The sequence below is a fragment of the Homo sapiens genome, chromosome 12, assembly GCF_000001405.40.
Source record: "Homo sapiens chromosome 12, GRCh38.p14 Primary Assembly".
In the NCBI taxonomy this organism is placed as follows: Eukaryota; Metazoa; Chordata; class Mammalia; order Primates; family Hominidae; genus Homo; species Homo sapiens.
In genome coordinates, this window is record NC_000012.12 from 115,990,397 (window position 1) to 116,007,734 (window position 17,338).

Consider the following 17,338-nt stretch of genomic DNA (forward strand, 5'->3'; position numbering starts at 1 on the left):
TTCTTTCAGTAACCATTTTATCCCCCATGATGCATTGCAGTTTAGGCAGTGAATGAGTAAGAAAAGGAAACAGCAAGTTGCTTGGCACTCTTACAGCCCAACTTCACTGGAGCTTTTAATAATACAACCAGTTATATGCCCCAGTAACCACAATGCAAAGTAAAATGTGATTTTGTTATAAGTGATACAACAAAGGGGGAAAACAGAGAAGGGAGAAGAGACTCTGGAAATGGCTAGAAGGCTTCATGGAAGAGGTTCCTTGGAAACTTGATCTGGAAGAATGGTGGATTTAAGCATGCAAGAGTGTGCAAATTATCAGTCTGTAAGCTCCTGACGACTCTGATACTCAGCGGTCACAGGTTCCCAACATAGACTGCTTACTTATGAGTTACAAGAGGAAAATTTCAGAAAACAATTACTCTTCTCCAAAGGCATTTCAATATAAAACATTCTCCCAGTCCATAAGTTTAGGATAAAATCAATACAGCTCTCACTTTAGGTTCTTTTTTTTCCCCCGAAAGACATGAAATTAAAATTTTTTGTCAAATACAGTAAAGAAAGCTTTTAAGTTATGATCATACCAAGATACTCCTCAAAGTAAATTTGTGTTCTGGGACACCTACCATTGCTGTGAGGCCAAGAGTGCACAGTGGCACTTCTCACCAGAGCTTCGTCCACTTTTCCACCAGTGGGGTTATCCACATACTGCCGCCCCTGCTCCAACGCATTAAAGCATTCCGTCCAGTAATCATTATTATCTGCTTGCACCCGGTCATAACTCCAGCTTACACAGGGAAGAGTTTGGCGATTGTTAGAGGAAATGTAGTCCAGGAAATTCAGTGAAGCAAAAGGTTGTGTGTGTTGATTCTGGAGGAGGAGGAGAAGGCTTATGGGTGGCTCCTGGGGTTTTTTGGTTCCTTCCACCTGAGGAAGGAAGGTGGACTGACACATCATTAAGCGCCTCTCTGCAGCCTGACCAATATCAGAATTCTTCCCAAAAATATCCAACTCATCTTCAAGGAAGAGTCCTGAATTGTAGCCAAGTTTGCGGTTCATAATCGCACTAAACCCACAGGTACAGCGGTACTGGTCCTCATTGGAAGAATCGGGGATGTAAAGCCCGACATCCGCCCCTTTGATGTTCATGTTGCAGGCACAGATGCAACAGCTGTCAAAGTTTCTGTCTTTAAAGATATTCATCACGGAATCGGAGAGAATCAGGGTAACATAGAGGCTGTGGGCTTCGGGAATTGGCTGCATGGTGGCGGGCTCCACAGAGTTGAGGGGCCGTGTAGTAGAGGGGGTGGAGGCTGGTGATCCTTGATCGGTGCTATCATACTTAACAGACCCTTGACCACTGGCAGTGCCCCCACCTCTGGGAGTTCTTGGGGTCCTGGGGGTTCGTGGTGTGGGGACAGAGAAGCGAGGGGTTGCTGGAGATGGTAGGACTCCTGCCCCACTATTGCTGGCTGGGGCAGCGCTGTTCAACGTCACGGGTGTGTTCATCTGTGGTGTGTTCAGATAGTCTGGATCTGCTAGGCTCCCAACACTAGGCACGTTACTACAAAAAGAGAAGGCACCAAGTGAGGAAGGGCAGCATGTCACAGATGCTGAACTAGACACATGATCACCCCAGCCATGTACTGTGTATTTCTTATCATTTGTTTCTGCTATCACTGGGATACACTGGTATATTTAATTTTCTCTTAAAAAAAAAAAAGAAGATACAAAGGTCAGTGCAGTGTGTAGAGAAGAAGAAAGTAAGGTATGAAGAATAATTCAACACAGCACTTTCCTTCTACTTATTCCACATATAAGCATCCTCATCCTAACCTCTTGAAGGAACTTTTACTATTTTTATAAGAAAACATGGTACTGGGTTTGGTCAATGTAATTTGAAAAGTTAACTACTAAATGGAACTTCAACCATAAGTGCAGACACTAAATTAGCTAGAGGACCATAGGATGAAATTTCCATCTAATTTGCAATTACATTTTTGTCATTTTTTTTTTGAAATTCAAAGTCTGCCAGTGTACTTGTTCTCTGAGGCTATAATCTATATATCATATCAAAGTAGTTATAATCAAATACACATGAAAATTTAACATTTTTCTAATTTTCAAAATGCAGCCCTATCTAGGCTTACATTTTTATAGTAATGAGTGACCATGAGGGAATTATATTTTAGGTAGCCCATTTACCAGTACTATACTACAACTGATAGAAATATTACATATGCGGCTAAGAGGCCTCAGTATTAATTAGGTGGTTGCACAGAAGTACACATACTGTATCAGAGTTTCCAGCTTCCAGCAGCTTTCTGTGGGGTGGTAAGCACTTCATTTTTCACTTTTCAATATGGTATGCATTGCATATAGTGTAATTATTTTAGTTGCCCAAGACTGACTGGGCTATGTTATCTACTTTCTCATAAGCAGTGACTTCTTTTTGGAACAGCTAGGCAGAAAACACTGTCTGCAAGGTTCTGCTGTTTCATTATCATAAAACATTTTCTTGATATACAGTTGGCCCTCTATAGCCACAAGTTCCACATCTGTGGATTCAGCCATATACAGATGGAAAATCAAAATAAAAATACAATTAAAAAAAAAACAACAGTTAAAAAACACAAATCAAAACAGTAAAGTACAACATTTATATAGCATTTACATTGTATTAGGCATTACAAGTAATCCAGAGATGACTTAAGGTATACAGAGGGATTTGTGTAAATTACAAGGAAATACTCTGCCATTTTATATAGGGTACTTGAGCATCTTCAGATTTTGGTATCCGAGGGGGTCCTGGAATCAATCCCCCAAGGATACCAAGGGACAACTGTACTTTCTTAGATGTATATGTATATTAGCATATGAGTCCATTCTTCCTACTTAGAAGGTATCAAAAGAATATTTTTAAAATTTTTTAATATCCTTTTATATATATTAATACTGTACTTAAACTAATGCTCCTCCAATAAACTACATATTCAGTTACTTATAATGTGAAAGAAGCACGTCATAAAGAAATGTCTCTTCAAATAATTTCCTTGTGATTTTTAATTAGCTATGCCTAAACTACCAGCCTAAAAGTCCAAATCAGGCACTGTAAAGAAATATTAAATCTGAGGCACAGTGGTATCTTTGAGTACAGATAAAAAAAAAAAAATGACCCAGAAAACTTGATTGGCAATCACTGCTCTCTTAGAGACCAAAATAGTTAAGTGTGTAATAACGATCTTTACTCTAACTGGACTCCTTTCAAATTCTCCTGTTCAACAAAACCCTAAAATTATTACGCAGTTCAGATCAGAAAAGGAACTATGAGTACTAACTGAAAACCTAAAGAATTAAATTGCTCCCTGGGTAGTAAGAATGGTTTATCTTGTAATCTGATTTTTCCCATTTAATAAAAATGAACTGAGTAGCAACCCTACGCTAGAAGCTGGATAGTCAAAAGTGAAAAAGAGAAACAAAAGGTGGCTCATAAGCAAGTATGGCAGACATGAAGCAAATGATTGCAGGGGTATTGCATGTGACAAAGGAGGAGTCCAGGGTGATGGCGAGCAGAGACCACAGCAGGATTACACATATGCTGGAAACATACTGTCCAATAAGGTAGCCACCAGTCCCCATGTCCTAAATTTAAATTAATTAACATAAAACAATTCAGTCTTGGTCTCACTAGCCACATTTCAAGTGGTCAACACCTGCAGCAGGAAGCTGATGACTGCCATAGTGGACAGTGCAGACAGGAATCACCTACATGCCAGGTGCAGTAGCTCATGCCTATAATCCCAACACTTTAGGAGGCCGAGGCAGGAGAAACACTTGAACCCAGGAGTTCAGGACCAGTGTCGGCAACACAGGGAGACACAAACTCTACAACAAAATTTCATAAAAATTAGCTGGGTGTGGTGGCACGTGCCTGTAGTCCCAGCTACTCAGGAGGCTGATGTGGGAGGATCACTTGAGCCCAGGAGGTCAAGGCTGCAGTGAGCTGTGATTGTGCCACTGTACTCCAGCCCAGGTGACAGAGCGAGACCCTGTCTCCAAAAAACCCCCCCAAAAAACAAAAACAAAAACAAAAACAAAACCTTCATCACATAAAGTTGTATAATAGAGCCAGTTAAGAATACAAAGAATCTTTGGGATGGCAAATGAAAGATGTAATAGATCTAAATAATGACCTAAATGATTTAAACGATTACACAGCAAAAGCTTGCATGTGACCTTTTTGGGGAAACCTGTATGTATGAAAGAGATTAAACTGCTGAATGGGTTCTTAAAACTGCTATGTCATTTATTGGCAACTGTATGTGCTAAGCTAACCCCTTATGCGCCAAGGTGTTCTAGGTGTGTTGTGCCAGGATCTAGCTGAGTAAGCTAGAGTACAATCGGAGCACAGCAGCAGCACACCAGCCAGGCGCTCAGGGTGCTTTTCAGCACACTCTTTATACTGCTGGTGCATTGTTATTTCCACGGTACTTCTACAGTCATTAGTCGTTGAAGCATTGTGGAAGTCCTGTGCGGGAGGCAGAGCAGGATTACTCCATTTTAAAGGGAAGACCCACGTAAAATGGTCATTTAAGGTCATGCATATAATTTTTGCAAGGCAGGAATTTCAGTCTTATTAATACTGCAAGTGTAGCTTCCTAAGTCTAGGATTCCTCTGTACTTTTCTGTCACCGTTTTTCTTTCTGACACTGACTTTATATACACAAGCAGGAAGTCTTGTTACGACATTAAAATTAACTTCATCAGGATGATTTTACAGAAGGTCACAAACTTGCAGCCCAGAGGCTGAGGCTGGACCACAAATTTGTTTTATTGGTTCCTTAAGCTCAGCACAATGGTGCTGAGCATCAGTAGTACCAACTCTTTTGCATTTACCCTGTCCATTTCATCTATATATTGCTTACCTGACCACAGCAGAAATCTGAATTTGTGGCCTTTTCTATCAATCAAATCACTTTATTTATTAAGAAATTATTCATCACAGGGAAAACTGATTCCATCATTGTTTAGCCTATCTGTTTGTTTTTGTGACAGGGTCTTGCTCTGTCGACCAGGCTGGAGTGCAGTAGTGCAATCTTGGCTCACTGCAACCTCCGCCTCGTGAGTTCAAGTGATTCTCCTGCCTCAGCCTCCCAAGCAGCTGGGTCACAGACACACACCATCATGCCCAACTAAATTTTTGTATTTTTTGTAGAGACAGGGTTTCGCCATTTGCCCAGGCTGGTCTCAAACTCCTGAGCTCAAGCAATCCATCCACCTCGGCCTCCCAAAAGTGTTGGGATTACGGTTTGAGCCACCGCACCCGGCCCTAGCCTATCTTCAACATATTCAGAACACTTACATTGGCCTACCATTGGGGAAATCATCTAACTCAAAGCCTGTTTTACAATAAAGTGCTGACTATCTCGTGTAATTTATCAAATACTGTACTGAAAGTAAAAAACAGATCGGTTGTATGGGTTCTCAAAGTACAGCATGTCCTGAACGTGTATTACTTTTACATCATCAAAAAGTCAAAAACTCCTGAGTAAATCCACTGTAAGTCAGGGACTGTCTGCATACAAAATTTCATTTAGAAAATAATGCACATTTTCCAGCACAAAATAATTTGCACAAAAACATGAACGACCAATAAAGGAAAGTTTCAAATGATATGCTACTTGTCATCATTTTTTCTTTCTTTTTTTTCTTTCTGAGACAGAGTCTCACTCTGTCGCCCAGGCTGGAGGGCAGTGGCGCGATCTTGGCTCACTGCAACCTCCACCTCCCGGGTTCAAGCGATTCTCCTGCCTCAGCCTCCCGAGTAGCTAGGATTACAGACTCCTGCCACCAAGCCCAGCTAATTTTTTGTATTTTTAGTAGAGACGGGGTTTCACCATGTTGGCCAGGCTGGTCTCAAACTCCTGACCTCAAGTGATCTGCCCGCCTCCACCTCCCAAAGTGCTGGGATTACAGGCATGAGCCACCGCGCCCGGACCTTGTCATCATTTTTAACAAACATTTAGTTAAGATAAAAATTGCATCAAATATGGCAAGTAAATGACACAATCCCTATACATACTTGTAGCCATCTCTAATGAAAGTGGCTGCAGGGGGCATGGGCAGTTGTTCAATTTTAGGAGGAATTGCCCATGAAGGCCGAAACAGACAGGCATCAGGTATCTTCAGAGGTAGCAAACAATGGCTCGGCAACATCTTCAGTGGAGCAAACATGGAGGATCCCACAAAAGGTTGAAAGGATGGAACTTTGTGCACATATGAAAAGTCCTGTGACAACAAAGTGGGGTCAGTGTTAATATTGGTAAACTCTGTAGAACACACCACAGTGGCATAGTGCTATCATAAAAACAGCAACCAAAATGATCGTATTTCAGTATTTCTCTCCTATGATCATTAGAAAATGCTAATGCAGAAATGTTAAATCAATCAAAAGACACTATTTAATATGCCTGCTGGTGTGCCTCATGTTCTAATTAAAAGGATTCTTAGGAACTTATGTATATATGGCACACAGACAATACCATTTTAAAGCAGATGTATGTGAATCCACTTGGAAACTGCTCTGCCCTGGAAATGTTAATATATTGACAACTACCTTAATTTCCTCGGGCTTGGGACTTCCTAATCCATCTTCCACTTCCATTTTGAATTCTGTGAGTTGTGTTGAAACCATACTGACCATAGGGCTCTCCATCATGCCTAATGCTGTCACTGTCTCTGAGCTGATCCCATCTTTATAATTCATCACAGGAGAAAATGCAGGATGCTGTTCCAAAGATGGTGGAGTGGGAAACATCCTTTGCAAGTCTGCAACTGCTAAAAATAAGAAATAAAAAAAATTTGTTTAATAGGAAGGGCTTCTAAAAAGTCCTAGCTTATAGCCAGGCGCACTCTTTGGCACCAAAAATAGTGCTAATTAAATGATCACATCAGTTCACAAAAGAATATTAATAATGGAAGTGACTAAGAAGAAGGCCATCAGCAGAGAATTATCTTTTTCTGGGTCTTGTTTTGTTTTGTTTCGTGAGACAAAGTATCACTGTATCACCCAGGCTGGAGTGCAGTGGCCTGATCTTGACTCACTGTAACCTCTGCCTTCCTCGTTCAAGCAATTCTTGTGCCTCAGCCTCCCAAGTAGCTGGGACTATAGGCACGTGCCACCATGCCCAGCTAATTTTTGTATTTTTGGTAGAAACAGGGTTTCACCATGTTGCCCAGGCTGGTCTCGAACTCCTGGGCTCAAGTGGCCCGCCTGCCTCGTACTCCCCAAGCGCTGGGATGGCAGGTGTGAGCCACTGTGCCTGGACTTTTCTTGGTCTTTATCACTAACTTCTTGATGCTTTATGGTCTGGCTTCACATTAATTAAGTAAACAAAGTCTACATAACTTGTATGTTTCTTCCAACAACTGATTCCCTGAAAAGTCTAAGGAGAGGAATTAAACAGAAAGTGGAAGCAATTAGATAGTTACCACTACTAAAGTTCTATCCCTGCTTTCAAGTATGTATAAAATATTACAAAAAATAAAAATTGTTTGGAGCTGATTACTCAGCTAGTTTGACAAATCCACTACACTTACAGCTGCTCTTTTGGGGAAACTCACAGCTGCTCTTTTGGGGAAACAGTTCCATATTTTTTCCAGACAGATATTAAAATGAAACTTCAAAGTTTCTTTTAAGAAATACTTAGAACAGCGGTTCTGAACTCCTTCTTTAAAAAAAAAGTTTCCTTTAATACACCTGTAGTAAAAAATTATCACTACAGTAGTTCATTAAGGCACTGATTCTTAAAAAGTAGACCTATTGAAAAGTTGTAGTTGTAAAATTTGGCCACTAGGGGGTGGCCTATGCAGCAAATTTTTTAAGTTTGGAGCCACAGGTTTTTAAATCAGTGATTTAATGTCCCAGTTTCCTATCCTATTGCTCTTTCCAACAACTTCAAGATTTAAACAGACCAATAATAACCACTGAATCACTAAGATCTGACTCCTAGCTCCGAATCAGAAATTAACACTGGGCAACTGTACCGTGCTGTGCTCACGGCTACCCAGTCCAGGTGCTGGGGACTTAGATCTGCTGTGGTCAGGTCACTTCCCCCCTTGGGGCCTTGGTTCCTTCATCTAACAGGGAAGGCAGGGCTAGATGGATGACTCTCAATGGGCCTACTTGCTTTGCTTTGTTTGTGAGGGGAGAGGAAAGCTTTCAAACACCTCAGCATATGGAGGCAGAAGAAAAGGTGAGAACTTCTGAATTACATAATCTTTACCGTGTTTCTAAGTGAAACAACTGTATAATCCTAAATCATTTAGCCTCTCTTGGCCTGTGGAGTTATTTGTAAAATAAGGAGAGGGAGAGGCCAATCAGCAGGGTTGTTAATTCCAACATTCATTTCCATTAGCGATGCTCCACTGCTACTTATTTTCTATAATAGGAATCTGTATCTGATTTCATTATACAAAAAAGTACCTGCTGCTTCTAAAAAAAAGAAGAAGAAAAAACTAAAAATCCCAAGTTGATCTTCAAGGCACCTTAAAAATTTATAGAAGTAGAAACATGAGCCAAGCCAAACAAGAAACTGGCAGAAAACTATTTGAGAGGCTACATAACCGATACACTCTGAGGTGGAAAAACAGGACTTAAAATGTAGCAGGAACCAGATCAGTAAGTTTTCTTTAAAACAAAGCCAAGATCTTTAATATAAAGTTAGTCTACACTGGAGGCCGGGTGGGATAGCTCACACCTATAATCCCAGTACTTTAGGAGGCCAAGGCAGGCAGATCATTTGAGGTCAGGAGTTCGAGACCAATCTGGGCAATATGGCGAAATCCTGTCTCTATTAAATAAATACAAAAATTAGCCAGGCATGCTGGCAGGAGGCTGAGGCACAAGAATCTCTTCAACTGAGGTGGCAGAGATTGCAGTGAGCCGAGATCTCGCCACTGCAATCCAGCCTCGGTGAAAGAGAAAGACTCTGTCTCAAAAAAAAAAAAAGTTCATCTACGCTTGAAATAAATCCATCACCTTTAACCTTTAGTCCCTATTCCTCCTCTCAAGCCGAAGAACAGCTACTACAAAACTGTAATATAATTTGAGTTATATTTTAAAACATAATTCTGCTTCATAAAATCTTCAAAGTCACATTGCCATAAATCTTAATAGCCAGTGTAGCTCTTTGTGAAGTACAGAAATTGTATAAATTCTCTTTAAGTTAAAAGGATGAGCTTAAACATAGCCTTTCTTATAAGTATCCTATGACACAAGATTTTGCAAAAAAAAAAAAATAGTTCTATTAAATTTGTTTTTACATTTCCTGTAAGAAACATAATAAAGGCATTTCCACCCACTTAGTGTTAGCTGACTTCTTTGATCTTCCTGAACGCACGCATATATCTCAGTTTTCAAAGCCTCAGCCACCCTGTTAATTTTAGCAAAGGTAAACAGAGAACACACAAAAAAGCAGGGATGAAATTCTACCTCCAAGAGAGTCACTTTATAAAGTGGTCTTTATCATTGTTACTATCAGATATTCTTAAGGAAGACTCAGTCTGTCTCACTTCAATTTCCTAATCCGTAAAATGGGAAAAATATCTACTTCATATTTTTTGTGCATATTGAGATAATGTATGCTCAGAAGTGAACACTTTGCTGCAAACATCTAAACATTCAGCAAATGATGAACTCAGTACAAATTAATTCTCCCTCCCAAACCTGGATTGGAAAAAGATGGAACCACTGTCAAGTTTTGGGACTTTCTGAAAATATATGACCCTAAAGAAATTTTGAGATGACCAAAGGGAATCGGACTCAAAGTGGGTAAAGCAGAAAGAACACACAGACTCCAAGAAACACTTTGGTCCTCCAAAATAGAAACATGATTTGTCTCTTCAATTTTCTTCCCAGAAAACGGCTAAAGCAAGGGTGGAAACAGCCACCAGGACGGACTGGAGGTGAGCTGTGCTGCCCACAGCGCTCTGCTTACTCCCATCCTGCCTATCTCTGCACTTCAGCGGGAACTCATAAGACACCCACCTGCTCCTGCCCAGCACTTTATGTATTCATGCACAGGATGGAAGACCTCCAACAAAGCAGCATTGTTGATTTCTTAGTGTTCTCCTCACCCCAGAGCACATGCCCAAGTCCCTTCCAAACCGTAAGGACTCTTGGAAAATAAACAAATGAACCAACCCCAAAATCCAACTCTTTCCTTTTGTCTATTCAAAGACTCATACTTTAAACTGATGTGCTTTCAAATGCGAAAATTTGTAAGAAAGTGGTTAATAATAAAACCTAATAAAAACATGTTTTTACTATAACACAATACTACCTTAACATAAACTTGATATTAAAGTAAACCTATTTGTCACTGTTTGTTGCTGTCTTCAGCATTACATTCACAAATGAATAATGAGGAACCTATGCTTTCCAACACAATATCCACTGGCCACACGTGGCTACTGAGCACCCAAAATGGGGCTTGACCAAATAGAGATGGGTTGCATATGTAAAACATACACTGTATTCCCAAAACTTCATACCAAAAAAAAAAGTAAAATATGTACAACCATTATATATTACATTTTTATAAAAAAAGTGAAATACTGCAATAATTTTATACTAATTACATGTAAAAATAATATTTTGGATACTTAAATAAAATACTGTATATTATTAAAATTAATTTCTTTTTTTAAATAGCCACTAGAAAATGTGAAATTGCACATGTGGCTCTCATTTGTGGCTTCCCTTGTGTTTCTACTGGACAGTGTTGTTTAGACATTAATTTTGTTTTGTTTCTGTTTTTTGAGATGGAGTCTTGCTCTGTCGCCGAGGCTGGAGTGCAGTGGTGCTATCTCGGCTCACTGCAACCTCCGCCTCCTGGGTTCAAGTGATTCTCCTGCCTCAGCCTCCCGAGTAGCTGGGATTAGAGGTGCACACCACCATGTGGTGCCAAGTTTTGTATTTTAAGTAGAGATGGGGTTTCACCACGTTGGCCAGGTTGGTCTCCAACTCCTGACCTCAAGTAATCTGCTCACCTTGGGCTCCCAAAGTGCTGGGATTACAGGCTAGACATTAACTTTTATAATACATTTGTCTTCCCACTGCAATGCCCAAAAATCTATTGCTGAGATTAAAATATCTTGCCAGGCTATTTTCATTGTCATTTCTTGGGAGGAAATACTGTGTGTTCCCCTCACTCCCCCACCCCATCCCACAAATACATATGCTCTCACGAACACATATTTATATATATGCTTTGTACACATTAAAATGATCCTCTGTATTCTTGCATATCTGGGTTTTCCTGGTGTTAATATTCTGTGCTACATTTCATATTGATTCGTTTTTATAACGTGCACTTTATCATAAAATTTTGAATTTTGAGTAGCTTCTTTTTGAAATAATTCTTTTTTGGATAGAAATGAGAGAAAGGATAGAGCACACAATATACTTCACTTGGCAATGCTGCTAACTAGCAGGATGTCTGCGAGTGAAAAGCCTTGGCTGAGTTATCAGACATTCTAACATTTCACATCACTACGCATCACGTCATGTCAAAAAGGGTAAAGGATCAATGGATTCAAAAAAGAGGAAAAACTCACTCATCTGACCTGCACATATCTATTTTAATACTGTTTCTTTTAATCTGTGAAGTTCCATGTTTGTGAAATTCTGCAGTGCAGAGTAATAAAACAAGAAAAATGTTTAACTAAAAAAACTACAGCAACGGGCTGGCTATCATTATTCATTTTCACCCATGTCATGCTTGAGAAAGCTTTGCATATTTTAAAAAGCTATGGATCCACTAAAGCTGTCAAAATCCAATCTCTGTATACTTCCCAACTTCTAGATTTGAGTAAATCAGCACTACATTTATAGGTTCATAAAGCTTTTTGACTCATCCCTATGACATGGTGGTTTTTCCCCTCAATTTGTTCTCATTACCAGCTGAAGTTAATGAGAAGGTGTTAAAGAATGATTTGCAATGGAATTATGTTTCTGCTTCAGAGTATCCACATAAGCTACCCTTTTTTTTCCTCTTGTAGAATAATTTGGTTTCTTAGGGCAAAGAATATACTCAAAAAAAAGAGGTTCATCTCTTTGTCAGCATATATGGTAAAACTAGTTGATCTCAAAAGGAAACACAAAAACTTTAGTATGCATCTTGAAAAGGACCACTGAAATCAAATATCCAATATCCTTGAGTGAATTATATTTATAAAAACAGAAACATTTTACACAGTCTTATAATAGAGTATCAGTTTGAAAAATCACTTGTGCAGCATTTATTCTACTAGGAAAGGACTATTAGAAAAACAAACCTAAAACATGTTTTTCTACATTTTAAGCTATAAAAAGCTAATTCTTAACTGGAAAACAAAGGAAAGGAATTCAAATTAAGATGGTTTCTGTATATGATTAGCTGCCTGCCATCTCAGAACACCAATTTATATAGGTTTTAATTCACAGTTAGAATTCTGTCAAAAGGAAGGGAAATTTCAGATAAAGATAAAGCACCACTAAGTATGAGAATATTATATCTAAGTTACAGGCAGTGAGCCACAATGGCTCAGTCAAGTTTCTCTACCTACTTGGTGGATAAGGAACAGCAGCTCTTCCATCCTTCCCAAGAGGTCGGTCTTCTGTCCCAACTGCAGGCATTTTTGATGAGCGCAGAGCAGGTGATACAGCCTAAGAACAGACGGTGTTATTAAAACAGAGTGACGTGTATATAAGTAGGGCAGCATTCAAATATTTCCTAATGTATGCCTATTGGTAGATGCCTCTTGGTAGAAGCGTTTACCAGGTGAACCTCTAGAAATACCAACAGATAGTGAAACAAAGGAGATGGTTACAAGCTTATCAAGTGTAAGAAACAGTGAATTTTTTTCATGGATCTTGTGAGGGCAGATTGCGCCATCAAAGGAGAGCTTGCAGACCTTAAGCAATTCTTCCCTCCCAAGTCAATTTTCAGGGACACAGTGTTACATTAGGGTGGTGCCTCCAGTAGTAACTGACAATTGGTCTGGTTTCCCTTATACTTGGAAGCAAGCAGCTAAAAGGCATAATCTCAAGCCCTCCAATTCTTTTTTTTTTTTTGCATTTATCACAACAAACTATGTATCTTCTGTACCTATTTTTATAGTTACTATTTATCTTCACCAAAAATAACCTTATTGTGTAAAATTATTGAAATATTCAGAAGGTTTTTCTCTGATCTGTTATTCAAAAACAAACCAAGTGCATTACTGGGCAAGATTATCTTTAACATTAAATGAACTGGTGATGAATTAAAATAAAATATAAAATAAAGCAAAAAATGATTTTTACAAATAGAAGGCCTTTTATTTATTTATACTTATACAATGTCACAACATTGAAATGTAAAATTAAAATTAAATTCAAAGACACATGAGATGACAACTCAGCCAACAGCCTCCCAACTCCATTTACGAGTAGTAAGATGAATTAGCAATATATTCTAAGGTAAACCGCTCATGTGATTAAATGCCAGACTAAAAATCAGAGTAAAGCAAAAACACTCAGAGAAATGAAAATTTGATTGAAAATGTCCAATTCTCCTTTTCATGTTAATATTACTAAAAGTATATTCCCAACAGTTAAACATTTCTTCATTAAGCTTAATAGTAATTCATAATTTATACAAAGAATAAGTTCAGTGGCCCAGAGCAGAAACAATTACCAGGATGGTGGTCATGAACAGATCAGGCAGGCCACTCCAAAATGCTTGCTCTGTTCCTTTCTTTCTCCTCCTTTGACTTGTACCTCCTTTTCTTTTCATATTGGATTCCCATCACCATTGCCAAAGCACCTATCCTAACCCTCTGTATCTTTAAAACCAAACCCAGGCAGCACTTGGCCTCCAGTGGATAGTCAAATTCAATGCCTGGATCAGCAATGAAGAAATGAGTCATTTCTTCTACCAGAGTTTTTCACATTTTCATGTCCTTTTCCTTCATGTGGCCACTGTATAAATTCAGATTCTAGTGTTCCAATCCAACAAAAGTTACCAGATTAGAGGATTCCTGCTTTCGGCATATCAGACTGGAAAAAAAAATAGCCCTTCTGCCAGTTCAGTTCTATACTCAGCAGCCCTCAGAGGAACACATATTAGTACAGTTTAAAATCCAAAACTTTCCTAGACCTATCAGTCTCTAATCATCCAAAAAAACAGACCAATGGTCTGTTCCTTATCCCTGAAAGCTAATCTAGTTCGTTTTTGTTGTTTAATCAAGGCTCATTCCACACTTAAACTAATGTCCCTCCCCCTTCCTCTCAATGACCCCTTCTTTCCATATTTCAAGTACAATCCATTCTTCCAGACCATTATGATCTCCTCATCTTCTAAGTACTTATAACAGTAATGGTATATAATATCTGTTAGATACATTTTATTTTAAAGTTTGGGCTTTAGAAATGTTTCCTACTTAACTTTCAAGCCTTAACTTAAACACTGCTCCCCATCACTTGGTCACGTCGTATCTGAATGTCCAGCAACTTTAGATTCAGGTCTATTATTGTACTCACAGCAATAAGTACATTATAACTTTATGTGCCATTTCTCCTTATGTCTGTGAGTGTCTCAAGTATAAGGGTGGTAATTTAATCATATTTCTAACCTCAATGACTAGCCTTAGTACCACCACAAAGGAATTAACCTTCAAACAATTAACAAATGTATGTAAAACAGATGAATAGGGAGGTAGATAAGTGAATGAATGAAAGAAAAGTAAACTAATAAGCTGACCTTTTTGAAAACAGAGCCTATCTTACTCATCTCTAGATCTCCCAGAAAAAACAGGCACTTGTATTTGCCCAAAGGTACAGAGTTGGTTAGGAGGATGAGGACACACATTTCCTGACTCTTAGTTCTGCTGATCTCCAAAGAATTATAATAATTATTCTTCTCTGTCATTTTAATTGTATGCTGCCTTGTAGTATTTAACTTCTATGTATATAAATTCTATTCCCCTACAATGATGCCATGATCTTAAAAAGTATAAATCATATTTGCATACCTAACCTCTGACTTATTAGATGAATAAAAAGTTATGTGGGCATTACTTTAAAAATCAAACCTAAGGGACAATGTAATACATTTCTAGTAGTCCTGTGATATTTAGAAGAATTTATTACAATAAATGTGAGAGATTTTAATATGTACAACTGGAATACACTAATGAAAAAGATCCTTCAATGAACAAAACTCGAGGTGGATACACTACACTAATAACCTTTACAATCTTTTCCAAGTATACAAACTTTTTTTATACAGCATGACTAGATTCCAGTATACAGACATTTATAAAGAACATTCAGAACCTGAAATAAGAGCCCCCAAATTCAGGACACCAAACTATAAAGAAATACTACAACACTGATATAAAGTCCTTTCATGTAGCGAAATTTTTGTTTATGTAGCTACGGCAAACTCACCCCAAGTTCGTCGTCATCAGAATTATCAAAGATGTTGTCTAAGTCATGCAGGGAAGGTGCCAAATCTGTTACCTGTGTAAGGCTACTGGAGCCAGCTCTGCCAGCAGCATTATCCTGCCGGACATCTGTAGGAAAGGAGGCAAAAGACACAGAATAAACAACTCCACCAAGCGCAAAGGAGTAGGGAGAGGACACGGATCTCAATGAACATGACCTGCCTGTGAGTTTTTCCCTATGGTTTTAGTTAAATTTAGAGACAATTATTTCCAAATATGTTTATCAGTTTTGAAAGGAACTGAAAAACAAACTATGAAAAATATATTAAAGATGAGATGAAATTCTTATTACAATAAGAATAAAATTTTACATTGAGAAGCATCTCCTTTGCATTTCATTTTAGCAACAATCCAAGTGAGGCAAATAATCATTGTACACACCTGTTTTAGTAGCAGAACTGAAAATAGACATGGCATTTTTCCCATCAGGCACCGGCGTGGAATGACCTGGTGTAGTGACATCCTTGGTACCAAATCCATCCTCTGACTGTATAATAAATTCAGCCAAACAAAACACATGAACACCAACCCAAAGTGTGAAATATGAGGGAGAACACAAAGAATTAGAGGGTAGAATGGAACTTGTTATGAGCACAAGTATGATAAACCATGGTCTATGCAACCAAAGGAAGTAAAAGATAGGTCCTTTCTCTGGAATTTCAACAGAACCATGAGCTCCCCACTTTCCCCTCAATCCTATGGGGTATTCTGAGTGAATCAGTGTTTTATGCCTAAGCAGTACTGGTGGCATTTGATTACAGACCTGCCATGGTGTTAAAAGCTGCCTTTAACAACATTTTAGATGCTAAATTATAGATTTGGCTTTCTGGGTCTAGGGAGATCTGTATAAAACAATCTAAAAAGCATTCCCCTAACTATACCGGCCTCTTATAATTGTTTTATTTCCTTGATTCTCAAGAATACCTATTTCAATGGCCCATATTTTAGAATGTCTGAAAATTTGAAATTAAAGACAGCAGACACAACCAGTACTCATTTTTATGATGATGAAACCAGTAAAATTAATACTGATAGTCTATGGGTAGAGTTGATATTAACCCAGAGAATATATAGGTACAGCGCTCAGCACAGTAAGGATAAGAAGCGCTCGATAAATTGTGTATACCTACTGTTACAAACATTTTTTCCTTTACATTTTGGGTAGTTCGGAATAATATTTTAAAAGAAATAGGGAGCATAGGCCAACAAGAATTAGCATATGAGAGAAAACATGCACTGTACAAGCTATAGCCTGGAAAATATGAGGCTTCATTTATGTTCGGCTGACTTTTAAACAAAGGTGAGCCATGACATAAAAAGGAACAATACGCTGTTCAATACAATAGTACCAAGAGCATGAATATGGGGACAGAGCAATCAGGCAAGACTATCTCAAACGTTCTGCCTCCAAAGTCTTCCCACACATGTTGTACTGACATAGATAGAAACCCACACCATGCTGGACTCTCTCTCTGTTAAATGGTACCTTATTCTTTTTCAGGGAATCTTTCTCCGTCCCTTGTTTGCATTTCTTGTTGGCTGTAAAGATGTATTTTATGTCACCATCTTCAAAGGTATATGGGTCATTCACTTCTCCCAAACTGTCTCCAGGTTGTTGTGATAGAGGCAATGGGTCAAGGAAGTGGAGTGGCTGCAACTGGGGCTGTTTGTCTTGCCAGATTTTAAACCGTTTGTTAGGTTGTGCTAAGAGTCTAAAAGACAAAAAAAAAAAAAAAAAAAAGAGCATTTATGCCTTAAAGCATTTACAAAGTTTAAACTTTTTGTAAAAACAACTAAAAATTCACCGATA

At 38.6% G+C, this 17,338-nt stretch overlaps 1 protein-coding gene across 8 annotated transcripts in view, besides 3 other annotated features; it reads right to left on the minus strand.

Annotated features, from left to right (window-relative positions):
* Positions 1–17,338, minus strand: part of MED13L (mediator complex subunit 13L) — a 319,118-nt gene that overhangs the window by 31,821 nt on the left and 269,959 nt on the right. For 6 of the 8 annotated variants that reach the window (XM_047428608.1, NM_015335.5, XM_047428605.1 and 3 more), the window contains 7 exons: positions 17,015–17,240; positions 15,910–16,015; positions 15,473–15,597; positions 12,607–12,706; positions 6,614–6,834; positions 6,080–6,285; positions 624–1,561 (listed from right to left, as the gene is read on the minus strand). In XM_047428608.1, coding sequence (XP_047284564.1) covers positions 624–1,561; positions 6,080–6,285; positions 6,614–6,834; positions 12,607–12,706; positions 15,473–15,597; positions 15,910–16,015; positions 17,015–17,240 — 1,922 coding nt within the window. The remainder of the gene's footprint in view (positions 1–623; positions 1,562–6,079; positions 6,286–6,613; positions 6,835–12,606; positions 12,707–15,472; positions 15,598–15,909; positions 16,016–17,014; positions 17,241–17,338) is intronic. The other 2 variants (XM_017019090.2, XM_047428607.1) reach the window with 1 other exon arrangement.
* Positions 7,620–8,121: an enhancer, noted in NCBI's record as "OCT4-NANOG-H3K27ac hESC enhancer chr12:116435821-116436322 (GRCh37/hg19 assembly coordinates)". NCBI's record gives its function as "activates a minimal SCP1, AML or CMV promoter by ChIP-STARR-seq in naive H9 embryonic stem cells {active_cell/tissue: H9 hESC(naive)}" and the evidence as "EXISTENCE:reporter gene assay evidence [ECO:0000049][PMID:30033119]".
* Positions 8,005–8,054: an enhancer, noted in NCBI's record as "active region_7088". NCBI's record gives its function as "activates an Ori minimal core promoter by ATAC-STARR-seq in GM12878 lymphoblastoid cells {active_cell/tissue: GM12878}" and the evidence as "EXISTENCE:reporter gene assay evidence [ECO:0000049][PMID:35858748]".
* Positions 8,122–8,621: an enhancer, noted in NCBI's record as "OCT4-NANOG-H3K27ac hESC enhancer chr12:116436323-116436822 (GRCh37/hg19 assembly coordinates)". NCBI's record gives its function as "activates a minimal SCP1, AML or CMV promoter by ChIP-STARR-seq in naive H9 embryonic stem cells {active_cell/tissue: H9 hESC(naive)}" and the evidence as "EXISTENCE:reporter gene assay evidence [ECO:0000049][PMID:30033119]".